The 27,729-nt window shown below is 36.6% G+C and overlaps 1 protein-coding gene across 23 annotated transcripts in view, besides 1 other annotated feature; it reads left to right on the plus strand.

Annotated features, from left to right (window-relative positions):
- Positions 1 to 17,889, plus strand: part of RCOR3 (REST corepressor 3) — a 57,020-nt gene extending 39,131 nt beyond the window's left edge. For 8 of the 23 annotated variants that reach the window (XM_005273191.6, XM_011509748.3, NM_001350069.2 and 5 more), the window contains 3 exons: positions 5,587 to 5,644; positions 14,224 to 14,465; positions 14,928 to 17,889. In XM_005273191.6, coding sequence (XP_005273248.1) covers positions 5,587 to 5,644; positions 14,224 to 14,465; positions 14,928 to 15,272 — 645 coding nt within the window. In that variant the 3' untranslated portion in view covers positions 15,273 to 17,889. Of the gene's footprint in view, positions 1 to 1,086; positions 1,210 to 5,586; positions 5,645 to 13,858; positions 13,992 to 14,223; positions 14,803 to 14,927 lie in introns of those variants that run through there. The other 15 variants (XM_047425046.1, XM_006711442.3, XM_047425021.1 and 12 more) reach the window with 5 other exon arrangements.
- Positions 27,041 to 27,542: an enhancer, noted in NCBI's record as "H3K4me1 hESC enhancer chr1:211498879-211499380 (GRCh37/hg19 assembly coordinates)". NCBI's record gives its function as "activates a minimal SCP1, AML or CMV promoter by ChIP-STARR-seq in naive H9 embryonic stem cells {active_cell/tissue: H9 hESC(naive)}" and the evidence as "EXISTENCE:reporter gene assay evidence [ECO:0000049][PMID:30033119]".

Here is a 27,729-nt window from a genome sequence, read left to right on the forward strand (position 1 = left end):
ATTATGTGCTCATTATTGTGCTAATTAATAGCTATTGAGGATTCCATGGAAATGTAAAACAGTCTTTTCTCAAAAAGCATATTGTCTACTTAGGAAGGCAAACTTGGATGCAGAGAAGGAATGAACATGGTATATGAGAGATGTTAGCAGGGTTGAGTAGGGGCATCTTTGTGATAGACATCAGTGGGCAGGGTCAGAGTATAAAGTCCTTGTGAAAGCCAGAAAGAGGGCCAGGCGTGGTGGCTCATGCCTGTAATCCCAGTATTTTGGGAGGCCGAGGCGGGCGGATCACGAGGTCAGGAGATCGAGACCATCCTGGCTAACACAGTGAAACCCTGTCTCTACTAAAAATACAAAAAAATTAGCCAGGCGTGGTGGCGGGCACCTGTAGTCCCAGCTACTCGGGAGGCTGAGGCAGGAGAGTGGCGTGAACCCGGGAAGTGGAGCTTGCAGTGAGCTGAGATCGCGCCACTGCACTCCAGCCTGGGTGACAGAGTGAGACTCCGTCTCAAAAAAAAAAAGAAAAGAAAGCCAGAAAGAGAAGTTTGTCTTTTAAATTAAGTCAAATGGAAAGACCCTTTAGTTTCTTTAGTACAGAAGGATGTAAAGAAAATTTTTAATTTTAGAAAAGTTATGACATTATTATACAGGATAAATTAGAACAGGGAAACTTGATAGCTGCTAAAATATTAAGCATGTAAGTCGTCAATGATAAAGGGGTATCAGTAGGGTTGGGTATTAGTTATAGGAATGGAAGCAAGTAGTAAACCCAAAGAACATTGCAAGGTAGAAAATTAATATGTCTCCTTGAAAGTATGTGAGAGTGTTGAGGGTGTCGCTGGCATGTCTTCTGCTTTGATTTGTTTTGGATGGAGGTAAATGGGTAGGTGGAGGAAAGATTGATGAATCCAGAAGGAAGAATAAGTGTAACTGAAAAAAGAGTGCTTTTTGAAGCTGTAAATTCCCCATCTATAGTTGTTTTCCTGCAAAGGTAGACGACATCCTTTCATTATGGATGTTGGGTGGAATTTTCAGCATCGAGTAGAAGATTTAATTTGGTGACATTTTCCATCTCTTTCAACTCAGAGATAGTATGAATCTACCACTCACGAAAATGGGAAAGATGTGAAAACAATTTAGCGGGGAAAGGATGGAGTGAAAATGCCGAATTCACTAAGCGTGTCATAGATCGTTCTAGAAGGCTTTTTGGTACCTTTCATATTATTATATATTAGATTGTCTTATTTTATATTATTATGTTATTTTTAAATCAACAGCATTTCAGATAGGTGTTTTTGTAGAAGAATATACTCTGTGATACCATGTAGCTAACTACAGCTACCACGCAGTTTTAGATTCCTAGATATATTCTAGTTCTTTCTTTAATCTTTACCAAAGTTTCTCAGGTTTAAAAGACAATATTAAAATCAATAACTTATGTGAGTCCTGTATATTTAAAATTTTTGACCCTATTTTTTCTTCACTCTTCCCCCTCTTCTGCTTCCACTTGTCACACACTGTTTAATCCTATACAGTTTCAACCGTCCCCTCTGCATTTTTCTTTTTCTTTCTTTCTTTTTTTTTTTTTTTTTTGAGACACTCTCACTCCCATCACCCATGCTGGAGTGCAGTGGCATGATCTCGGCTCTCTGCAACCTCCATCTCCTGGGCTCAGGTGACTCTCCCACCTCAGCCTCCTGAGTAGCTGGGACCACAGGCACACCACCACACCTGGCAAATTTTTTGTAATTTTAGTAGAGACGGGATCTTGCTATGTTGCCCAGGCTGGTCTCAAACTCCTGGGCTCAAGTGATCCACCTGCCTCGGCCTCCCAAAGTGCTAGGATTACAGGTGTGAGCCACCACGTTCAGCCCCTTCTGCATTTTTCCACGGAGCTGCCTCTTATAAAGGTTAGCATTGGCACTGATGACCACATTCCACAACTTTTAACTTCTGATTCCCCTTGCCTTTTTCTGAACCCTTGATATAGATGACTACCCTTCTTTTTCTTCCTTTAACTTTTGAGAGGTTATGTTCTCTTTTATAACTCTTCTTCTGTTCCCTGGTTTGTCTTCTATACATGTAGGCATTCTCCAAGTTGTTCTCAAAATTCATTTCCCCTGTCTTGGATGCACAATCTCATTATTTTACTGTGTTAAAGTCATATCATATGTTCATTTAAATTACACAAATTTATCCAGACATTCAGTCAAATAAAAGAGAGAAAGAATATTTAGCAATAGCAAGTGCAGTAGTGCTGGCAATTCTGCTTACACTCCGTTTATTGAATGTATGCCCCACAATGAGCAGTAGTGAGCTGAGAATTGAGAATCCACTATTTCTTTAGTCAGTCTTAGTTTCTGCATGCCTTCTGTGTGTCTCTTTGAACTGAGGGAGACTCTAGTGTGTATGCGTGCGTGCGTGTGTGTGTGTGTAAAACACTACCCTAAATTCAAGCCAACAGCTTCATCTGTGGTTTAACCGAAAAACTAGTGGTCCACTCCAATGCTGGAGGAATACCTGGCTGTGTGGGTGTGTTGACAGACTGTGTGCCTGTCTCTGGCTACCTTTTTAAAGACATTTCAAGAGTAATCTTGAAAAAAAAATTTAAAAAATAATTATAGGCCAATTTTAGACCTGAGTAAGATATGACTCCATTGTTTTTTCTTATAAAAATTTTCCAGAGTCTTCAAAATTGTGTTTAAATAAATGAATCTGATTTTAGCCTCAAGTGGAACCTGAACTCCACCTGAATGTCGAATACCTCATTCTCATTGTATCCCAAATTAAATTAAATCTTAACCTCACCTTCCCACATCTCCCACATCAGCATTTCTTGATTTCTCAGGTTCTTAACAGCATTGTCCCTCTCCCAGCTTTCCAGGATTAAAGTCTTATTTTAGTTATGATCACACCTCTGACCCCTTGCCCCCCAAAACAAAACACAACTATTGCTTATTAAATTTTGTGTGAACTTATCAACCTTGATTTTTACTACCCTTCCAAAAGTGGATGGCCCTTATCGTATTTTAATTTAGTTAAATATCACCAACTTTCCAGGCTATCACTTCTTACTGACACAAATCCCGTTTTCCCTTACATGTGGATTGCCTTCCCATTATTTGCCTTTCAGAAGCTTTTCCTATTCTAAAACCATCTCAGTCTCCAACCTTTCCTTGTTCTGTTTCCCCACTTAAATCATTGTGACTTTTTCTCCCGTCTTGAAATTCCCCTGTATACTCTGTACTTTTTAACTTTAAAGTTATTTGTATTCATTCATCTTCTGATTTGTAAGCTTTCTGAAGTTTAGATGAAAAAAAATTTTCATAATGCATGTTTTCTTTCATTTTGTTACCTTTTCATTAATGATACCTTTCCCTCCAGTTTCTTTCAGATTTAATAAACATGAATTGATCAACTTTTATTTGCTTAGGCAGTGTGCCAGATGCCTTTTTAGATATAGTCTAAATATATCCTCATATTTAGTTATATTTAATCCTTAGAGCAACCTACAACATAGTTACTGCAAGTTGTGTGTACAGAAGATCCTCGATATCCAACTGGTCATTAATCCATGTAATGCATGGAGAAGCAAAAATTGCCAAACAAGAACACTGACTAATAAACCAATCATTTATAAAATTAGGCTCTACTCACCAACTCTTCCTAATTAGCTGTAGCTGTTATCTGTCCCATTCACTACATCATTATCCTTCTCTGTCACTCTCTTGCTAATACAATGCAAATACAACACAAACCAAAATGAAATTGCGTACTTTGCAAAAGATGAGAAACTTCATGAAGTCTGTTAAACTGCAAGAGAATGACATTAGTCACCTACAGAATTGACAGATGAGTATCCAGCAGAATTAACCATTAAAGAAAAAAGTGATCACTCACAGGCAAGCACTTCACAAAAGAATAATTTGAGAACAAAGTATTAAGAGAGGCCCTTGAGAAAATTATTTCAATAAGCCTTTAAAACAAAAAATGACCCATTTTATGATCATGTAAATTTCAAAGCCAAAGGATGTTGCACCATTGTATAGTCAGAAAAGATACGCCAAAAAATAAAGTGTATTAAACACGTCATTAACTATTTTTAAAAAAACTAATTTCTACAGGTTTTAGTTTCACATTTCAGATTGAACTGCAATCAACCTTTTATTTTCTTACCATTTACTATAAAATATTTTGACCTGTTTTAAATTGATTTCAGTACCAGTTATCCTTGGGTACCAAGGGCCTTTTTTATCCACCTTCCACAGCCAAGGTAGCATCAGATTGCCTGTGCATGAACTCAGTGTGAACTTCCTTAGTGTAAAGTTAGGGTCTCAATTAACAATATATATCCCTTCTGAATAGAGTTCCTCCTCCATTCTTGTTACTTCCCTTTTGGGGGAACATATGTTTACCTAATTTTTCCTATCTCCTTTTTCTTTTTTAACTTTTTTAGATTTGTTGTGCTCTTTTATTACTGTTTCTTTATGTCTCTCATAGTTTTTGTCCTATTCTCCCCTTTCTCTTTTCCTTTTTACTGTTTTTCCTTTGCCTTATCACCAGGTTCCTAACCTTGAGGCGTATCCACTGTCTACTACCTTGCCTGCCCTGCTGTCCCTTTTTAATCTCCTCATCTGGAATACAGTGGTTCGTTTTAGGTTTTTCTCTCCTTAATTCTAACTCCGTTTTTTTACTTTTTCATTTCTCCTCTAACAAATTTTTTTTAACTTTGGGTTTTTGTTTCATTCTTCATTCTGAGTACTTGCACCTCCTTACTTTTGGTGAGAAAGCTGGTGTTACCTAGAACCTCTGTGTGCTATAGAAACTCTTATTGCTAAGACCATAAGTGAGGTAAGACCTAAACGCCCCTTCTCAAAGGAAGCCCTCTTTCTGTTTTGCCCAACATGCCTCGGTATTACACCAAGCCACTTTATCTTGGCAGTTCCTTCTGCAAACCCCTGCATGCTGGTGTAGTTATTTCTGTCCATCTACTGTCAAAGGTCCTTGATTTACCACTCAGTGGGTATACACTAATGAAGTCTGATTAGATATTTGCTGTTGTAATATTACCATACTGAAAATCCTAAATTTAGGATTTTTGTGGGGAGAAATATTGGGGGTGTCTGGAGAAAAAAATATTCTTACCAGGATCACTTTCTGCTTCAGAAATTTTAAGAAATATTTTGGCTGGGCGCGGTGGCTCACGCCTGTAATCCCAGCACTTTGGGAGGCCGAGACAGGCAGATCACAAGGTCAGGAGATGGAGACCATCCTGGCTAACACAGTGAAACCCCGTTGGGAAATGGGAAACTAATAGACTTTCTCATGTTTTGATATCTCTAATTAGAGCATAAATGCGAATGTTGTTCCTTCTTGCAAATTGGTACATTTCCCTTTCATTATCTTTCTGCATGGGTAAAAGGTAACTCAGAATATATATTTTTAATCTTTCTAAAAATGGAATCTTCATGAATCAGAGTTGTAGTAATCTCATGTCTGTGATTTGATGAAAATTTAAAAAAATAAGCGCTTTGGAAAATGTCTGTCTTCATATCCTCATTAGGAAACTTCTCTTTAATTTTGTAGTCAAATCAGAAAATTAATGCCCGTTGGACCACAGAGGAGCAGCTTCTAGCAGTGCAAGGTATATTAAAGATAAGCAGTTATTGTTGTTAATAATTATTTAATTTGTCATGAAAGGTGACTACTCTAGTTCTTCCCTTCCTTTAGAAATTGATCAAGAAAGGGCTCTTGTGTTTATCACAAAGTCCTGGTGACCAGGAATTCTGTGTTGTATTTGTGGATGTGACATACTCAAGTCTATGTGCATTTTGAGTCCTGAACAGCACGTAATGCATTCTCAGCACTAAATAATTGATGGTGATAATTAAGCATGAAAAAGTCACATGGGCTCTCTGTGCTTCTCCTTTGGTATTCCTGCAGTTGGGTTCGTTCTTACTATATATCATTCATTAATAACTCATAGTTAAAAGCATCAATAAACTATAGATGTTTCTGATTTCTCTACTCTGCAAAATAGTGTTTATCTGATAAATGTCAGGATTGAAAATATTAACTATATGTTTAACTTTCAGTGTTTCATACTTCCCTTAAGAGATGTACCACTGAATGCTTAGAAACCTGATTTTAAATAGGTATATTTTTTAAAGGAGACTTAAGAGCGATATCAAAAAATCACATTCAGCATTTTCAATGCACTATTTCTAAGAATGTTTTGTTGAATTATATGGTAGAAGACTTTTTGTATTATGAATACCCATGGGCAAATTGGAAGCATAAACTTGGATTTTCTCATGTTTAAATGACTTAAAGACAAGTTGTATATTTTTATTCATTGTTACAGATTTGTTTCCTCTTCATGATAAATTTATGTGCAGGTCTGATTGTACAGTTTAAAGTTTGGTCTACATTTTGTTTCTTCCTGGCTGAGCACCTCTGTGTTGAGTGCTAATAGCTTTTTTTTTTAATCTAGGTTAACTACTGTGAGATAGTGGGGCCCCAATGAAACATATAAGCATACCTTTTAAAATGTTGCCAAATAGTCTTCAGAGAACATACTTAATACAAAAATGCTGTGCAGACATCATTCCGATTGATCGACTGATGGATGACTCCGCAGTTTGGATTAGAGAGAGTAAGAATTAGCCAGCCAGCATGATTTGAAAATGTCACAGGAGGGTGCCAGCAGGATGATGTCAGCCCTTGCTTTGGCCTATGCAGCATAGCACAGTCATTTCATAAAGAATTGATACTATGACACAGGGTGCTGGATGTGCATTGGGCACATCTGTAATTATAGAACTGAGTTTCTGAATGAGTCAAAACAAGGTTTAGTTAGTTCATAATGTTCAAAAATAGCTGTTTTTAAATTAGACTCTGCTAATTTAAATTATTGTTTAAAAAATTAGCATTTTCAGTGGCTGCTTTATATTCCTTTAGAGCAATGGCCTACATGTTTAATATAGTCATTTTGAATAGGCATTGCTTTTTATTCATGTAAAGTCTGTATTTCCCTCTATCTTAGTAGCCTGGTAAAAACTGAACCCTGATTTCCAGTATTCAGTTGTTTAAAGATTAGTATATTAACTCTGTATTTTTAAGAAATTTTCCCAGTGAAAGAATTTTCTGAAAAGAATGTCATAGGAAAATCTAGGCTAATACTTCTCTACACAGCACTCAGTATTTGTTATTGCTCTACAGAGTAATTTAAGTTATAGAGTCCATTGAATCTTGTGGCTGGGTTGGATATTACCCAAAGCTGCATTCAAAGGAAGAGCAGTGGTAATATCTAAATATATAGTTTGAACTATATATGTGGACATAACTTACAAATATTAAAATAAAAGGAGTAGTCATATATATAACCAAACATTTCCTCTGTACTGAGGTATATTCAGTATTATACTATGTACATTTAAAAAGTAACCCTGTAAGTTACACTAATGCAGGAGTTTGTATGGAAGTATTGCATGTTCGCAGGATTTCAGAGGCACTTTCTTAATAATGTGTTAATGGTGTTAATGTCTGTTTTATTTATTCTTTGGATTTTTTTGTTTTCATTTTTGGGTTTTTGTTGTTGTTACATAAAATAAAACTATATAAGGCTATTTGTGCCCTATATAAAATAGCTATTTTAAAGAGAATTTTAAAGTGTCATATTGTCTTATGTGCCCATGCATTTATATAGTGGTCAGAAGTGTGTCTTATAAATAGTATAATCATGTAGTAACGTCCCCTGTACCTGAGTTTCAGTGCAGTTAAGGGGCGTAATTGCAGGGTCTTTTAATACACAGTTTACTATCTACAAGTACTTACCTTAGCAGGCAATTGTTTTTGTTTTTTCTTTTTTTAAAAAAAAAAGTATGGTAAACCTTCATACTTTAGTTTTACAAAGTAATAATAAACTGTTTTGATATTAACATGTTTTAATTTGTATAGCACTTTATATTCAAGACATTTTACACATATATTTCTGATTTGACACTTATTTGTTAAATGCTTTATTTTATCTGGCTCATAGTAGAAGACTATTACAGTGACCTGCAGAAAAAAATATTGACTCTGGGCAACTAGTGAGATTTACAACTTTACTATTAAATAAGCTTTTTTATTACAACTCTTTTGAAACCAAACATATTGAGATCATTTCCTTTCGTAGGGCTTAAATATGTATTTCCCACCTTATTTTCCTGTTCCATCTACTCATATTGTTGTTAACTAAATGTTAACCATTTAAATAAGTTTCCCTTCTTTCTCTCTTAATCAGAAGAGAGGGGAACCATGCTCAGATCAAATAGGAATGTCTGTTTACACTTTTGTAATCAGTCACTTTATTATGTTAATTCTAGTTCTACCTATGTTGTAATTTTAATAGAATTCTTCAAGACTCTCCAGGTAGGGTATCATTAATACTGCTAATTTAATCCTCTTAAAATATTTGCCAGGAAAGGTATTTCTACAGTTTTTATCATGTGTTCCAACCCTAAGTATCTAAATTTTTATTATGACCAAATTTTATTATGACCAATAATGATCTTTCCATATTTGTGTTAATGATAAAATATTCCTGTTTGTAGCTTATACATATATACATATTTTTTCTAACCTATAATGCTTTTAGAAGTTATCCTAAAATCCAACTTGATATTCATATGATAAACAGAATTCAGAAATTAAGAATTTTTAAAGGGGCTGGGTGTGGTGGCTCACGCCTGTAATCCTAGCACTTTGGGAGGCTGAGGTAGGTGGATCACTTGAGGCCAGGAGTTCAAGACCAGCCTGGCAACATGGTGAAACCCCATCTTCACTGAAAATACAAAAAATTAGCCAGGTATGGTGGTGCACACGTGTAGTCCCAGCTGCTTGGGAGGCTGAGGCAGGAGAATTGCTTGAACCTGGGAGGTGGAGGTTGCAGTGAGCCAAGATGGCACTCCAGCCTGGGCAGCAGAGCGAGACTCTGACTCAAAAAAAAAAGAATTTAAAAGAATTTAAAAAGGAATTTAAAAGAATTTAAAAAGGAATTAGATTATTCTAGGTGTATCTTTTTTCCTTGTAAAATGGAATGATGGTTAGCTGTTTTCAAAAAACAAGACATTTAAATTATAGTACAAAACACCTTTTTAAAGTGTGTAGAGGCTAGAAGCATGGTATACAGTATTTGCATTTTAATTATAAGCCACCTCTTAAATATATTCATTTCCTAGTCATTACTGCTTAAAAAAAAATGCTTCCCAACTAAAATTTATGCTACTTTAGGATAAACAAAATTTTTTCCGATTGTATAAAGATGTCAACTTTAGTTATTTTTTATATAATTATTTTTTATATTTAGTTATTTTTTATAATTACTACCTTTTAATATAAAACAGAAAATGACAGAACTATGTTCAGGTGGCTTATGCTTATAGTAAAAGTTACCTTTTCTTGTAGTTCATTCACCTTTTTAAGATAAATGAAGTTGCAAGTCTAGAAATTGTCTTCTCTCTTGTACTAACAAAAAGATAGAAGGGTTTGTAAAGGAGAAAAAGTAGATTTGGCAGTTGATTAAAAATAAAAGGATGGTAACATAGTACATGAATGATCAAAAGGAAGTGGAACAAGGAGATGCATATCTTTTCATCTGAAAAGCACCCTTTTGCTTTAGGGATTATTTTTCTATTATAACAGACACCATAAGAACGGAGGTTCAAAAGTATAATTGTCAGCCCTCTGATACACTTACATTAAATAATTAATGATTCAAAATTTCCAGCATTTTTGTAATGGAATGTAACTTATAATGTGATTTTGACTTTTAGCCCCTTCCATGTATACATCAGTCACTGTTCTGCTGCTATTGCTACCTTTTCTACCTCTTAATATGGAATTCTTGAAGAGATTTACAGGAAGTGGAAAGAAATACACGCTCCCAAATGGCTTGAGTTTAAAACATATGTCTTAATGATAGAAAAGAATCATATCCCTGGAGTTTCTAGATGTTATTGTATTCCTATTATTTCAAAAATATATTTTTGAAAAATTAATGTTTCCCAGTTAAACTAAGTACATGTTCACTTTAAGAAATTTTGCTGTGAAAGCCAGAAAAAAAATCCTCTGAAATTTCACTACCCATAAGCAGCTTACCATGTTTCGTCTTTTGGATGTGTTTTTTTTTTTGTTTTTTTTTTGTTTTTTTTTTTTTTTGTGTAGTCCAAAATCAATTTTTTTTTTTTTGAGACAGAGTCTCACTTTGTCACCAAGGCTGGAGCACAGTGTCAGTATCTCGGCTCACTGCAACCTCCACCTCCTGGGTTTAAGTGATTCTTGTGCCTCATCCTCCTGAATAGCTGGGACTACAGGCATTCACCACCACACCCAGCTAATTTTTGTATTTTTAGTAGAAACTGGGTTTTACCATTTTGGCCAGGCTGGTCTCGAACTCCTGACTTCAAGTGGTCTGTCTGCCTTGGCCTTCTAAAGTGTTGGGATTACAGGCATGAGCCACCATGCCTGGCCCCAAAATCAAATTTTAAAAAATTGTTTTAAACATACCAAAGGTAGCTATCCATGCTATCCTTTCTAGCTAAACATAAAAAAAAAAAAAAAAAAAAGATTCAGATTCCATTTTCACAGTTGGGAAATACCACATAAATTCTCCTGAAGTTACCACAATCTTACTAGCCAAAGATTAAAACAAAAAAATTGTATGGACAGACTCCACTAATTCAGAATGTCTGATAATTCAGATAATGGCTATGCTAAAGTCTCTACTGCTAATAAAAATATCTTTAGCAAGTTAAAAGTGTTAACAAGAAATGTTTAAAAAAGATGTTTTTGTGTTGGGTAATATAGATTCCTGGTTGGAATATGTGGGCTTTCATAAAATGTAATGATAACAGAATATCCTAATGACTTATATTTTTATGTTAATTCCCAAATAAAACTTTACATATTAAAGATTATAAGATATCATCTGCCAGCATAGAAAGCCAAGTTGTTTCATTGTAACTTTCAAATGAAATTTAGAAATTTGACTGAAAACAATTTTTTTCTTCCTGGGAAACTTACTATTTGCCTGTTTATTCCACCAACCTTTGAAAACGACCTCTTTTCCTAGAAGTGAGACTTTAACAACTATGGTTCAAGCATACCTTTTACATCTTCAGGAAGAGAGATTGACTTAATCATATTTAACTCCCTTCCTGAGAAAGTAATCAGATTTTATCAACTATGAAAAAATAATGGAGTGCCCTTCCCCCAGGGACAGACTGAAACTCGGGTAGCTCTGATGCCGTAAGTTGTTAAAGTTAGTTGCTGCTTATCACTACCACCTGCTAGTTGTTTCAGACGCCTCACTGGAGATTCTTTTAAAGGAGCAGTCTCATTGAGTCAGTTGGGGTTTCACTAGAGTTTGCTTAGATGCTAGCAACAGTATAGAGCTTAAGAGTTCCATCTTCTAACCAAAGTGCTCTTGAGCCATGCTGTTCTGAGTGTGAAGGTGATGAAGAATTCAGCCATATATATCTAATACCTCCTGTGGTTTAGGGAAGAACAATAGAATGAGGCTTTATAGGGAAGAAAAATCATATTTCCTTATTTCCTAAGCACTTCCTGTGTACTCAGCATTGTAGTAATGCTAGTGCTGCTTTGTATTTTCTAGGACAGTACTTTCCAACCTTTTTCACATCATGGTACACAGAGAAAATTATGAAATTTGTCACAACACACTAGGGCAAGCAGATGAAGCTGCTCTTGTCCAAATGAGACTGCCAAGGAGCTCTAGCTATTCCAGACCCTGTCCAGCCATCCTTCAGGATGAGGGGATTAGAACAAATGTGGATGAGAACAGGATGAGAACAAATGTGCCTAGATATTTGTTGGAATATCTAGGTTGGAATATCTGAGGTTGGAATCCTCAGCCAAACTACAGAAGTCTACAGTGTGGTCTGAGCTTTAAGAGTTTAGACTGGCATACATGAGTTAATTATAAGCATATTATAGTTAATTATAAGCATACCTGGGTGAGTTAGAAAAAGTTGTTGACATTGAACATCTCTAGAAACACTAAAGCTCTTACAGGAAGTAGTTTTGAGTTTAAGGTGTATAATTTTACAAATGTAACAATATTGATGACAAGGTAAAGTCCATTGAACAAGGGAAAATTAAGAAGTGGAAGATCAAAAGGAGTATAGTCAGAAGAAGGGGCACTTATTTAATGGAATCAGACTTGGGGACAACTTAGAGTTTTGGAATATATTTTGCAAAATAAGTGTTCTGAGGTTTATAATATCTTTAGACTTGGAGTCAGAGTTAGTTTTAATGTGACTTCTTCCTAGGAATACAGTCTAATCCTAGACTTATTTAAGGTTTTCACTTCTAAACTCGTGTATTCAGTAGGTTTGGCCATTGCTAGAATGTAAATTAAGCGTCCCTTATGAAAATTAGTAACTGATAGAACACTATATTTGGTTTCTAATTAGTAGTTATTCTTCACTGCAGCAAACTCAAATTTAGAATTTAGAAATGGCACAGAGACTCACCCTTATAAGAGTTGCTATTTTCTAAAATGTAAAAGTAGTAGAGAAGTACTTGAATATATAACAGTAACTCCTGTGAAATAACCTTGGATTTTTATTACCAAATAAACTCTCAGTGGAATCTAGTCACTATTAGAATTTATACTTAACTGTGAAGTTCAAACTGGAAATCAACCTCATGGGTTTAAAGGGAGTATAAATTCATTTATGCTGATAAAACATTATAAACGATGTCTATCATTGTTACTTTATTGTCATGTACATGTATTTTCCTTTGAGAACACAGCAAATGAGCATAGCTTACAAACCCAAAACTCTACCTTAAAAATGGGATATAATTAGAGGATAATAATGTCAGACCTCCTGTCCAGAATGCTCTTAAAGGAATTCCCCTTAGAGTCAAGCCCAGCTAGTTTAATGTAGTCAGAAATGCTTATTTCCAAATTCTCAATTTAAAATAAAGCAGAATTTAAAAGTGGGATTGTTACATCATGATAGTGCTTTAGGGTAATTGAGTATTTCATATTAATTGGTATTGGTAAGAATAGCATTTCTGCTGGGTATTAACATATCCATATATTATTCTCTCATCTGTGATCATATACATGTTATTAATTTAAGCCCCCATATTTTTGTCTCCTTTCTCATCTCTTTCATTAGTGAGTTACTGTTTTCTGGTATTTTTAAAAGCAGTTATCAAATTATAAAAATTTTCAGCAACTTTTCTATTTTGAGCTAAGTGCATCTCCTTCTAGAATGAGTCTGTGAACTTCTTTTAGAATTCCCTTAAGAGGAAATTATTATCTATTTAAAATTCTATAGTATAGTTAACAGTCTCAACTTCTTAAATCAATTATTACCCTTTATTATAATGAAACTTCCTTAGTGTAAAGTTAGGTTCTCAATTAACAATAAATATCTCTTCTTAAGTTTAAGGTAGTGATGATGAGCACAAGTGCTCTTCAGGTAGTCATTACTGTTACCTTATTCTTTAAGCTATCATCTTTCATCCATTCAGTCTTTAAAACTACTAGATGAGTTAAAATCCAACTGACTCTGAAAAAAAATCTTCTCTTTTTTCAAAATCCACCAACTTGTGATGATTCTCCTGCTTTTCATGTTTAAGTTCTTATCTAATTTCAATTTGTTGGTACCCTGGTGCTATAGGCAAGTATTCATGTTGAAGTTAGTATTAAGACCAAAATTATAATGCTTTTCTTAATGGGGGAACCCTAAGGCTACTCACTCAGTCCATTGAGGGGATAAGAGAGATGGCTCATTCCCATCCAGTTTTGTTTACAAACGATGTTGCTCAAATTTAGGTGACTGGCTACTAGGGAAATAAATGAATGTGGAATTGAGGATGGAACAAAGAATTCAATGCTTTACAATAAATGGACTGTATTTGAGAGTTCAAGAGAGGATTGGAGAAAATAACTGAGTATGTAAAAAATGGTAAGTTTCTGATTGTTCAGTTGAAGGCAAGTGGCTGGCTCGATGAAATGACATAACTGATAGTTTTCATCTGTGACCCTGATATCTTAGCCTCTATCTCAGAATTGAGAAATGAGCAGAGTTTATCAGAAAGGAATTTCATTGCTGGTATCTTTTGTGTGTGCATGATGTATAGTACACACAGCTCTCCTTATTGATCCTTCACAGGTGTATTATTTACTTTGCCTTCCAGGTGTCCGCAAATATGGTAAAGATTTTCAAGCTATTGCAGATGTAATTGGCAACAAGACTGTTGGCCAAGTGAAGAACTTCTTTGTAAACTACAGGCGTCGGTTTAACTTAGAGGAGGTATTGCAGGAGTGGGAAGCAGAACAAGGAACCCAGGCTTCTAATGGTGATGCTTCTACTTTAGGGGAGGAGACAAAAAGTGCTTCTAATGTGCCATCAGGGAAGAGCACTGATGAAGAAGAGGAGGTGTGTTTGTGTATGGAATTTGAGCTAATATGAGTTGAGGAATCACCATTTTGTGTGGTATTCTGTAAGGTTAATTTGTCAAGAGGACTAGCTAAATTGAGCATGAAAGGTTGACAATACACTTCTTCAGTGGTGCATCTCTCGTGACTCTTAAGTCATAATGACATGCTAAGTTCTGATTCTAGAAGAATGGAGAGTGTATTGTTCTTTCATAGTCTTATTTTTATTTTCAGTGTTAAGCTGTTTACAAATAAAGATGCCTGTTTGGTAGCCTCATTGGTTTTTGGTTTTTGGTTTTGTTTTGTTTAAAATAAAAGAAGCTTGTGCTTCCAATAAACACTGGTGTTATGTTTTTGTTTTGTTTTGATTTGTTTTGTTTTTCCTGTGACAGCCCAAACTATATTGTATTAAGTTCATTAGGACTTACATCTCATACGTGTATTTTTGTTTCCTCACCTCTAGGCACAGACCCCACAGGCTCCTCGGACACTGGGTCCATCACCTCCTGCCCCATCATCCACTCCAACACCAACAGCCCCTATTGCCACTCTGAACCAGCCTCCACCACTTCTTCGTCCAACACTGCCTGCTGCCCCGGCTCTTCACCGGCAGCCTCCTCCACTCCAGCAGCAGGCTCGGTTCATCCAGCCCCGGCCAACTTTAAATCAGCCTCCACCACCTCTTATTCGCCCTGCTAATTCCATGCCACCCCGTCTAAACCCAAGACCGGTGTTGTCCACGGTTGGTGGTCAACAGCCACCATCACTTATTGGAATTCAGACAGATTCACAGTCCTCACTGCACTAAAAATTAAATTGGACACAGCTGCAGTAACTTTTCACCCCATCATTATACCAGTGCTCATCTGACTGATGAAAAAGAGGAAAGAATAATCATTTCTAGATACTGAGGCTGCGAACTAGTTCTGTGGCAGTGGACTAGCATAAGTGGATGTCTAAGAAATTTTTCAGTTCACTAGACTAAAATGTTTTACAACAAAAAGCCTCCAGTTAGCCTCCTTTCTAGAGTATATGTTCAGCAATGTTGATCTCATAAAAGGAAAAACAAAAGATTTAAGTATTCTATATACCAAGTTTTTGTTTTGTTTTTACTGTATTTATTTTATTGAGGTTCTTTATATTCCTGCCTCTTCATAGTCAAGGCTCTTAGTACAGGAATATTGACTTAGGAATTGTGAAAACTCCTTAAGTTTCTTAAGTTAAGGATGTTTGGCTTTTTTCTTTAATTTTTTAAAAACCATTTTCCTATGTTAGGAGTGCAAGAATAGCCAGCATTTCCGATTTTGACATATGTTCATTTTATGCATATTTAAGAAATTATAGCTGCATATCCCTTCTTTCAAAAAATGTTGCTTTTTTTTTTAAAGGAATTTTAATATATTCCTTTAAAAGAAAGCAATTTAATCAATTGCAAAGCAATTATATAAAACCACAAAGAATGTACTGAACCTACTAACCCTTTAACATACAGTTTAGGGTCCTAGCGCAGAGTCCTTGTTTAAAGGTCATTGACTCATCATCTGTCAGTAATGAGAGGATTGGAAGAATAATTTTGCATACAAATGAGGACTTAATTTGTTGAAATATAATCTCTTTAAGTTCCTTGAAAATGGAGTTGGTTTTTTTTGTTTCTAAATGCTATCTGCTTTTAACTAGTAGTTGCCTACATCTGGGGACTTCAGAGAAGAATTATATTTTGTTAGTTAAGTAGACACAGTGGTTATGGAAGCATTTCTTTACAGTACCCTTTACATGTTTGGTTTCTGAACTTAAAATTGCCCTCATACTTAATAATATGGTCTGCATTTAATATGAAAGGTGTTTTATTGATAAATCTATTGTACTATTTGGATACATTTGTGTATTCCTTGCAGCCAACCTGTATTCGTGGGATTGGTGTAGGGTTAAATCATCAACATTATTTCATAAAATAAGAATTTGTTCTGTGTTATCTAAAGATGTATCAGTATATTGTCACAGTTGTGCTGTTAACTAAAAATGCTGAGACCCCTTTTTATAGAAAAACAAAAAGACATCAAGTCTTCTTAATTCAACCCATAATCATTAAGTACTTAACAAAGAATATTTTACAAGTGATAGTATTTCAACAATGTGTAATTAATATTTTTGATACAGTGATTTCATATTGGAATCATTATTTGTGCAAAGGGACAGACAGATCACTTAGATTGCTATACTAGTGGACATAGGCTACATGTTTGCACATTCACATTCTTATCACGTGTAGAATACTTCACAAAATAGTCAACATCTAAGGCCCTAATTTATGTTTTGAAAGATCATGTGTTCCCAAAGTATTCCCTATTGTTGGCTCCACAGCCTTAAAGTGCTATAGATTTAAATTCATTGATTAGTTTTAATTTTTAATTTTAGACTGTGTATTTCCATAAATACCCTACGTACTGGCATATTTGAAACTCTTTTTCCAGGTTAGGTCCTTTTCTTTCTCATTGAATCATCTTAAATAGTTCTTGGCCCTGAATTTAGCTGATTTAAAATTCTTAATATTCAAGAATTTATACTTATTTTTTCCTTAAAAGCCACAGGGGACAGTTAAATATCTTAAAATATCTAAAACATTTTTTAAAGCACTTAGATTGTCTTACGTATGTGCATACTATACCTTTACAGCGTTTATTGTCTTGTCTCTTGTCAGTAGACCTTCAGTACACAGTATGTGGGATATGTCAGTCAAGTTGGTCAGCACCAGCATCTGTCCAGCTGTTCAGTATATTGTGATTCATTAAAAAATCTCTTCTATCCCAGACATGGGCCAAGGTGCTGTATCTGAGGGATGTGCTGTAATTTGATTTACATGCATTAGAGCACACAGTAGAAAAACTTTAGCTTCATTAGTAATATGACACATGTATATAGTGAGATGTCTTTATTGTGTGCTTTGCATATTTTGTAAATATTTTGCACGTCATTATTTTTCTTTTTTGTTTAAGCAGTGTTTGGCCTGGAAGAGTGATATGCTTGCTGCTTAATCAAAGGATTAAAGATTTAAAGATGTCTATGTCTTCTATTTTTATATAATTTCATGTTCTATGAGGAATTTAGTACCTCTTCACTGTGAAATTCGAAATAATGATTTTTATAAAAGCAAAACTAGAAATCTTTTAATGACAATTTTCATTAATTTCAGGGTTATCATTTTTGAGAAATCTACACCAAAGTGGTTTTTTAAAATTACATAACTAAAAATAAACCACACTGTGGATACATCTTATAAAACTAATGGAAACAATGTTTTTCTATATGATTTAATTCTAGTGTAATATGGATGAGGTAAGAGTAAGTTATGATCAAACTTTTTATGTTCTTAATAAGCTTGCAATTGAGTAAAATAGAATATAAAATAAAGGTGAAATAATATAAAATTTTGTCTTAATGTAGGCCTACATTCTTTTTAGGAATAGATGTAGAGAGCAAGCCAAGAACGTGACTATCATTTTTAAGAATATTAAAAATTGCAAGTACAGTCATGCCCTTAACAACGGGGATATGGTCTGAGAAAGGTGCTGTTAGGTGATTCTTTTGTGCTGTGAATCAGATTGTACTTGTACCAACATTGGTGGCAAAGTCTACTACACACCTAGGCTATATGGTATAGCCTTTGCTCCTAGGCAACAGTCCTATGCTGTACAGTAATATACTGTACTGAATATCATAGGCAGTTATAACACAGTGGTAATATCTGTGTATCTAAACATAGAAAAGGTATAGTAAAAATACAATATTTTATATATTTATTTTTTGAGACAGGTTCTCACTCTGTCGCACAGGCTGGAGTGCAGTGGCGGGATCTTGGCTCAGCAACCTTTGCCTCCCAGGCTCAAGCAGTTCTCCTGTCTCAGCCTCCTGAGTGTCTGGGATTACAGGCGCCCGCCACCACACCTGGCTAAGTTTTGTATTTTTTAGTAGAGATGGGGTTCCACCGTGTTGGTCGGGCTGATCTTGAAGTCCTGGTCTCAGGTGATCCACCTGTCTTGGCCTCCCAAAGTGCTGGGATTACAGGTATGAGCCACTGCTTCCTGCTGATGTTATAATTTTAAAGAACATCAGTGTATTTGCAGTCACTGACCGAAATATTGTGTGGTGCATGACTGTACTTGGGTTAAAGTACCTAGTTTAGTTATTAAGTATGTTGTATTAATTTTATGTTCCCTCCTGTTATCAAAAGGTTATTTATGAACATTAATAACTGCTAACTAGTTAACACTGGGGTGTCAGGATCTCCTCAAAAAGAATAGTAATCTGACTTCGAACTCTAAGAAGAATCTATCTTTCTCTTTGTGCATGCCCAAAATAAATGACAAATACATTCTTATTAGAGGACACACAAGAAAAAAAGTGTTTTTAAATTTAGCCATTCATTATAGATTACATCGTTTATAAGAAAATAACAGAATAAATGAATACGGAAAGAACCCAAGAATCAAGTTTGAGAAACCATTCCATATTAGAAAATGCCTACAAGAAACTTTTGACATCTGATTTATGGTAGTACCTGAACTGTTTTCACCTAGGAAAGAGTAGGTCATGTGTAACTCCCCACAACTTCTTTATCATAACTGCCTTAGGGAAGGAATGTTCTGCAGCAGTATATTAGTGACAATGGAGTTTGAGAATTAAACATGACAAGGAATGCTCCTAGATGTGTGAGTTTGTGTCTAAAGGGCCATGTGGCTTTATCTGCCCTTTTTTGCTCTCCTAAGTCTATATAGCTAAGGGAGAAACAGTGAAGATCAGAAGTTAATATTGGGTTGAGATGTTTGCCAATTGTCATTACTTGGTTTAAAGTAGACAATTGTTTATTAATAAACGGAACAGTCTTTACAATGCAGTAATCTAAACTTTAGAATCCTAAAGCAGGAATCTGGGTGAGCAGGGTCTCTAAGGAAAAAATGCTGGTGATGTGAAGTGGAGAGATCTAAGAACAGTCTTCACAATGTAAATGAGGTCAAAGTTGATGTCACAGAATGCTTCATATGTTTCCTTCCCTTGGACTATTTTAAGAAAGGTGAAATTTTTATTCTGTACAATTTAATCTTATTTGTAAGGTACAGTTACCAATAACTAAGAAGATGCTGAATAATACCACAACACAAGGTATCTCTTGAGGGATCTGTCTAGTTTACTACCTGGAACAGCTTTCTTATTTGACAGGATTTGGCTTGAAGAGGCCTTTAATCCAAAGACCATTTTGTTGATATCCTGCCTCTTCATCTTTTCCAAAAGAGTTTGAAAATAATCAGAATCATTGAGGGCTTGTGGCCTATATTTGCAAAATAATTGCCCACCAACCTTTAACACAATGAGTTTTCCAACTCCACTAAGCAAGTTACTTAATCTCTGTGAGCCTCATTTTCCTCATTTGGGGAGGAATATATAAACTGGGGCATATAGTACCTGCCCAATGTATGTTAGAGGTTTTTACATGTCTACTTATACCATACCCTTCTTAATAAGGGAAATGTATTGTGACTTTTTTTTTTTTTTTTGGACAGAGTCTCGTTCTGTCACCCAGGCTGGAGTGCAATGGCGCAATCTCAGCTCATTTTTTTAAAAAAATTAAAGTGCAGTGCAAAAATGAGAGATTAATTTCAGTTCAAGATGACAGACTGGACATAGTCTTTTACTTTTCTTACCCATAATCTCCCCCTGCCAGTCTTACTGAAATGACAAGAAATAGAAAAACCAAAATAACCCTTAGCAGTGCTAGGAAGCCAGAGGAGGAGCTACCAGCAGATGGGGATACATTTATGACAAAAGCCAGCAGAATTAAGGAACCTCTAATGTGACAAAGAGCTGAAGCCAGCCTTTTGCTAACAGCCAGCAAAGAACTCAGGCCTTCAGTTCAACAACCTGCCAGGAACTGAATCCTGCCAACATCCATGTGCACTTGAAAATGGATCCTTCCCCAGTTGGGTCTTGAGATGACCAGAACCCAGCTAACAGCTTGATTGCAGCCTATGACTTGAATAACACACCTTTACCTAGTTGAAATGTGGGATCATTCTACCCAACAGCAGAATAAACATTGTTTCCATGTGCACATGAAATATTGCTCAATATCAGCACTACTGACATTTTAGGTTAGATAATTCTTTTTTGTGCATTTAGAATGTTGAACAGCATCCTCAGCCTCTACCCACCAGATACCAGTAGAACCCCCTTCCCCAGTTTGAGAATCAAAAATGTCTCCAGACATGGTCAAATGTCCCATAAGGAGCAAAATCACCTCCAGTTGAGAATCATTGCAATATATCATATTAATAAAATAAAGGAAAAAAGCCATATGATTATGTTGATAGACACAGAAAAGATATTTGACAAAATCCAACACCTATTCATGATTAAAACTTAGAAAACTAGGAATGCTTCCCCTCAGGATGGAAATCAAGGCAAGGATGTCTGCACTCACAACTCTATTCAGTGGTTTACTGAAGGTTATAGCCAGTGCAATAGGCAAGAAAAAAGTATAGAGATTGGAAAGGAAAAACTAAAATTGTTTTTATGTGCAGATGACATGAAATTGTATGTAAAAAATCCCAAGAAACCTGCAAAAACTAGAATAGTAAGCAAGCTTAAGAAAATCAGAGGATACAAGATCAATGTACAATCAATTGTATTTTCATATAATGGCAACAAGTGATCTGAGAATGGAATTAAGAAAATTTTATTCATGATAGTATCAAAAAATAGGAATAAACAAAAATGTGCAAGACTTGTCCATGAAAAACTATATTGCTGAGAGAAATAAGACCTAAATAACTAACTGTTCATGGATTGGAAGATTGATATTGTTAAAATGGCATTTCTCCTCAAACTGATTTATAGATTCAATCTAATTCTTATAAAAATCCTAGCAGGCTTATTTTGCACAGACTGGCAAACTGATTTTGAAATTTATATGGTAATGCAAAGGACCTAGAACAGGGGCCAGTAAACTTTTTCTATAAATAGCCAAATAGTAAATATATTAGGCTTTGTGGTCCACAAACTGTTGCAACTCCTGGCCTCTACCATTTTAGTTCAAAAACAGCCAGAGAAAATACATAAATGGACAGATATAGCTATGTGTCAATAAAACTTTATTTACAAAAACAGGCAGCAACTCCTAACTTAAAATAGACAAAACAATTTTGAAGAAGAACAAAATTGGGTGATTGGCACTAACTGATTTCCATATTTGTTATAAAGATGCAATAATCAAGATTGTAATATTGGTGTAATGATGGACATATAGATCAATGGAACAAAATAGAGTCCAGAAATAGACTCATCCATATGTGATCAACTAATTTTCAATGAAAGTGTCAGTGTAATTCAATGGCAGAAGTGATAGAATATCTGCATGCAAAAAAAAAAACCTCCAATAAACCTTGATCCTTCCCTCACATCATGCATAAAAATAAACATGAGATGGAACACAGACCTAAATATAAGAACAAAAATGGCCGAGCATGGCGGCTCACACCTGTAATCCCAGCACTTTGGAAGCCCGAGGTGGGCGGATCACCTCAGGTTGGAAGTTTGAGACCAGCCTGGCCAATATGGTGAAACCCTGTCTCTACTAAAAATACAAAAATTAGCCGGGTGTGTGGGGCACGCCTGTAATCCCAGGTACTCGGGAGGCTGACGCAGGAGAATTACTTGAACCCAGGAGGTGGAGGTTGCAGTGAGCCAAGATCGCGCCACTGTACTCCAGCATGGGTGGGACAGGGTGAGACTCTGTCTCCAAAAAAAAAAAAAAAACCAAAACAAACAAACAAAAAAGAACAAAAATATAACTTTCTAGAAAAAAAAAACGAGAAAATATATCACTGAAGCATGATCCATAATAGAAAAAATTGATAAATTATATTTCATCAAAATTAAAAATGTTCCTTTTCAAAAGACACAAGAAAATGAAAAGGTTAGCCATCGGTCAGGAGAAAATATTTGCCAAACATATGTCTGATCAAAGATTTGTATCCAGAATATATAACAAACTCTTCCAATTCAAATATAAGCGCTCTTTCAAATCAATAATAGAACAAAAAGAGCGGGGTGGTGGAAGATTTGGATAGACATTTGCCGAAGAAGATATGCAAATGGAAAAAAAGATGATCACATCATTAGTCATAAAGGAAATGCAAAGTAAAACCACAATGAGCTACCTGTAACACCCACTAGAATAGCTAATATTAAAAAGACTGACAATACCAAGTGTTGTCAGGGATGTGAAGAAACCGGAACCCTCTTACATGGATGGTAGAAATGTAATATGACACAACTACTTTGGAAACCTATTTGGCAACATCTAAAAGACTAAATGTACACTTACAATACAACCCATTAATTTTACTCCTAGGCATCTACCTAAAGAGAAATGAAAATGTATGTGCACACAAAAACTTCTATTCAAATGTTCACAGCAGCATTATTTATAATTGTAAAAACTAGAAATAATCCAAATGTCTATCAGCTGGGGAATAAACAAAATGGTCTATCAATACAATTTTTCTATTATGGATCATGCTTTGGTGATATATTTTCAGGTGTATTTTTCTAGAAATTTATAGTTTTGTTCTTATATTTAGATCTTATGCTCCATCTGGTTAATTTTTATGCATGGTATGAGGTAGTCAACAATAAGAAAGAAAACACTAATGACTTATGCACCAACATGGATCAATGACAAAAGTATTTTCCTACTTGACACAAACTGCTACGTATTTATTCATATTAATTTTCTTTTTTTTTTTTTTTAGATGGAGTTTTGCTCTTATTGCCTAGGCTGGAGTGCAATGGTGTCATCTCGGCTCACCACAACCTCCACCTCCTGCGTTCAAGCGATAATCCTGCCTCAGCCACCAGAGTAGCTGAGATTACGGGTGCCTGCCACCACACCCAGCTACTTTTTTGTATTTTTAGTAGAGACAGGGTTTCACCATGTTGGCCAGGCTGGTCTTGAACTCCTGACCTTGTGATCCACCTGCCTCAACCTCCCAAAGTGCTGGAATTACAGGCGTGAGCCACAGCGCCTGGCCTTATTCATATTAATTTTCAAAAAATGCAAAGTTATAGCGACAAAGGAGATCTCTTGCCTGAGGCCAGGGCTGGGGGTGTGGATTGACTGCAAATGGACACGGGGAGATGGATTTGTTCTAAAATTTCATTGTGGTTATGGCTGCACATCTGTATACATTTACTAAAATTCATCAATTGGGTGAATCTTATGTTATTAAAAGTACATCAGTAAAGTTGTTTAAACAAGGAAGAAGAAGTATGGAACTGGAAGGGCTGTACAAAACCTGTATCACAATGAGAGGCCCTCATTTGTGCCAACAGAAAGTAGCATGGGATTTCAGAGGATAGAAGTGGCAAGGTCATGGAATACTGAGGTGTGATTAGAGTCAAAGACCCTTGAACTTTGTGTTTTTTCCTAGGATGGGCCCTTCCTGAGCTTATGCCTTTCTTTCTAATGCTTCTGTCCTGTTTTCTGTGAAATGGAAGATGTGACTAACCAGGGTTCCAAGATCATTGCTTGAAATCTCAGCATATAGAGTAAGCACCATTCTCAAAAATAAATACCAAATAAATGGTCTTCCTTGTTACCAACCTATTAAAAAATCCAAGACCAAACTGTGCCAATCAAACCTATTATCTTACTTCATGATTCCTAAGGCTAAACAATAACTTTTAAATCTATATTGTAATGGCTTCTGGTGATTATGCAGAATTAATATGTTAAAATGTTTTCCTAGCAGTGATAGGAATTGCATGTGTGAATCTTATTAAAGAAACTGTCAAAGAGGACAGAATTCATACTTAGCCAGGTGTACAATGAAGACAGGAGGTCTAATGTAAAAACAATAAAAATCTCATTTCTCCAGCCAAGGCTGACCATCAGACAATTAAACCATGAACAGGAATAAAGAAGGGTGTGTTTATGTATCAAGCAGGGGATCCCCTGGAATAAATACATAATATATGGCCATAGGAACAGTACAGGTCTGCTTTTTTCAACTGGTGCTGACCCTATAACACAGTAAATAACAATAGAGTAAAACAAGGTAGAACAAAAGAAACATGGTTTTTTCTTAAGCTCCTAAGTTAAAGGTGCAGCTGCTGAATGCACATACACAGGTTCTTTTGCAAAGGGAGGCTTAAAAAAATTTACATCGGTCCCTGCCCCATCCCAGTACTCCCCGCCTCTCTTCTTGTGGTGGTCAGCACACTGACAGGCAGAGCTGAGCTAAAGGTTATTTGATGGAAGCAGAGGGATCAGTCATTCATATATTGTCTCAATACAACACCTACTTAGTGAGCAAGCTGAGTATTCTCTGTGCACAAGACCCTGAGATCTGCATTTTGCCTGGAAGTGGTTTGCTGCTACAGTATATCACATTTTCCATGTGTGGTTCTGTTTACAGACAAAGACTTTCCATTGTAACTTGCAATGGAGTCAAAGTCGCAATCTATGGCCCAAGGAGAGGATTTTCCCTCCTTATCTGATCTCACTGATCTCTAGGTGATGGGAAGTATGAACTTTTGCCCTGCAAGCTAACTCACTACATTGATCAGTCTCGTCACAGAGGAGCAGCCTGAGGAAGATAATGCATCCATCTACTATTCCAGTAGGCGGCGTCCTCACCTCTCCATCAGCACCATCTTTACATTGGCAGCCAGGGCTGCAGTCTCTCACCCTAATTTATACAGCAAATTAAACAGCTGAAATCCATGTCTTCGGGCGTCTGGGGCAATCTTACGGTGTCTAGAAGCAACAGATAAAAGGGTTAGTGCTTTTCTTCTGCATAAAACTGTAGTGTATAGTTCAGCCCTGGTCTTATTTTGTAGCTGAATTTAGTTTGAAGGTTGGATTCTCTTCAATGTTAGATATAATGTTGAACTTAATGCTGAATATTTTCAAAACACTAAAAGTACTAAAATTTGTCTTTAAGTTGTTTTGTTTGAATTCACATCAGTCATTTATTTGAGGGGTAGGGTATAGTGGCTAGGAGTACCAGAACCAGACTTCCCAGAATTCAAATTCTGCCTCTCTCAAACTAAGAATTTTGTGATTCTGGGCAAATTGCTCAATAGATAAGATTTTCCATCTATAAAATGGAGTTGATTATTAAATGAGTTAATATAAAAAACACTGAGCACAGTACCTGGTATATAAAACGTAATAGGCCGGGCACAGAGGCTCATGCCTATAATCCCAGCACTTTGGTAGGCCGAGGTGGGTGGATCACTTGGGATCAGGAATCTGAGACCAGCCTGGCCAACATGGCGAAATTCCATCTCTACTAAAAATACAAAAATTAGCTAGGTGTGGTGGTGCACGCCTATAGTCCCAGCTACTCGGGAGGCTGAGGTGGGAGAATTGTTTAAACCCAGGACGTGGAGGTTGCAGTGAGCCAAGATCACGCCACTGCACTCTATCCTGGGTGACAGAGCGAGATTCCATCTAAAAAAAAAAAAAAGAAACCTTAATAAACGTTAGTTATCACTTGAAGGTATTTAATGTTTTTTTATATGTGCATTTATGTACATACAGGATTCAAATTCCGCTTTATGATCAACAGGGAATTGGGACTATGTTACTGACTTCTGACTAATACCCGTCTAAAATTCCTTTACCCTTTCCACTTAGACGCAGCCCTCGAGTTATGCGGCCCCCATTTCCCACCACAATAAAGATCCACCTCTCTATCCCAGGTTTTATTCCATCATATTTAAGGCTTGGATGTAATTTTTGGAACAATTGACTGCTTTATTTAGTTGGTGGGGAGAGGAGTAGGAGAGAGAAGCAAATTACAGTCAATGACAGGACCAGGGATTCTGAGCATACCTGCATGTATGCATACTAGACACTGATGTTCCAGCCAGTGAAAGGAGATATAACTTCTAAAAAACAGTATCAACTTTATTATGCTTGGAAGTAATGAGAAGAGAGGCAAGAAGCAGGCAATGGTAAGAGAAAGCGGGTGGGACGTAGTGGCTTGCACATTTAATCCCAGCACTTTGGGAGGTCGAGGTGGGAGGATCGCTTAAACCCAGGAGTTTGAGACCAGCCTGGGCAACATAGTAAGTCTCCATCTCTTCAAAAAAAAAAAAAAAAAAAAAGGAGCTGGGGGAGGTGGGCGTAGTGGTGTGTGCCTGTAGTCCCAGCTACTCTGGGGGCTGAAGCGGCAGAATTACTTGAGCCCAGGAGATCCAGCCTGCAGTGAGCTGTGATCATGCCCCTGCACTCCAGCCTGGGTGACAGAGTGAGAACCTCTCTCAAAAAATACACACCCACAAAAAGAGAGGGAAAGTATAGTGTATGGCAGAACAGGAAGGAGAACTTGGGTTCACTAAGCACCTACTCTGTGTTAGGCGTACAGGAGTGCCATCTCATTTAATTCTCATGAGAAGATTATGAGACAGATCTACAGTCCCAAAGCAACACCCACCAGTGCCTCTCCCCCACGGAGCGGTTCATCTAACTCACCAACCAAAAAAGGTTTGGATCTGGATTTCTGGCTCTTTGGAGAAATAAGAGATCAGGTAACAATAGGCTGGCACTGGGTGGTGGCTGCTCCACTAGATCCTCCACCTGCTCTTTAGTGCACCAGCGCCTCCCTCCTTTCTCCATGACCACAACCTCTGCCTCCCTCCTGTATGTTTCCTGCCGAGCTCCTGTGCACATCTGAGTTTTTGACTCCCAAGGTGTGTATTATTCTCCCCTTTTATTGACGAGGACGGTAACTGAAACTCAGAGCAGTTAAGTACTTTTCCCACGGTGGCCTAACTGAAAGTAAAGGATCTAGATAGAATTGGAATTTTGGTCCATTTCATTTATATAGAATGTATTGCCCTTGGAGAGAATATATTGTAAGAAAGAGCCCGTATCTAAGAGTGCGCAGGCCAAGCGCGGTGGCTCACGCCTGTTGGGAGGGCAAGGCAGGCGGATCACAAGGTCAAGAGATGAGACCAGCCTGACCAACATGGTGAAACCCCGTCTCTACTAAAAGTACAAAAATTAGCCCGGCGTGGTGGCACATGCTTGTAATCCCAGCTACTCGGGAGGCTGAGGCAGGAGAATTGCTTGAACCTGGGAGGCCAGGGTTGCAGTGAGCCGAGATCGCGTCACCGCACTCCAGCCTGGCGTGAGAGCGAGACTCCGTCTCAAAAAATAAAATAAAATAAAAAATACGTATAGAGAGAGAGAGAGGGAGAGA

This window comes from Homo sapiens, chromosome 1 (assembly GCF_000001405.40).
Source record: "Homo sapiens chromosome 1, GRCh38.p14 Primary Assembly".
In the NCBI taxonomy this organism is placed as follows: Eukaryota; Metazoa; Chordata; class Mammalia; order Primates; family Hominidae; genus Homo; species Homo sapiens.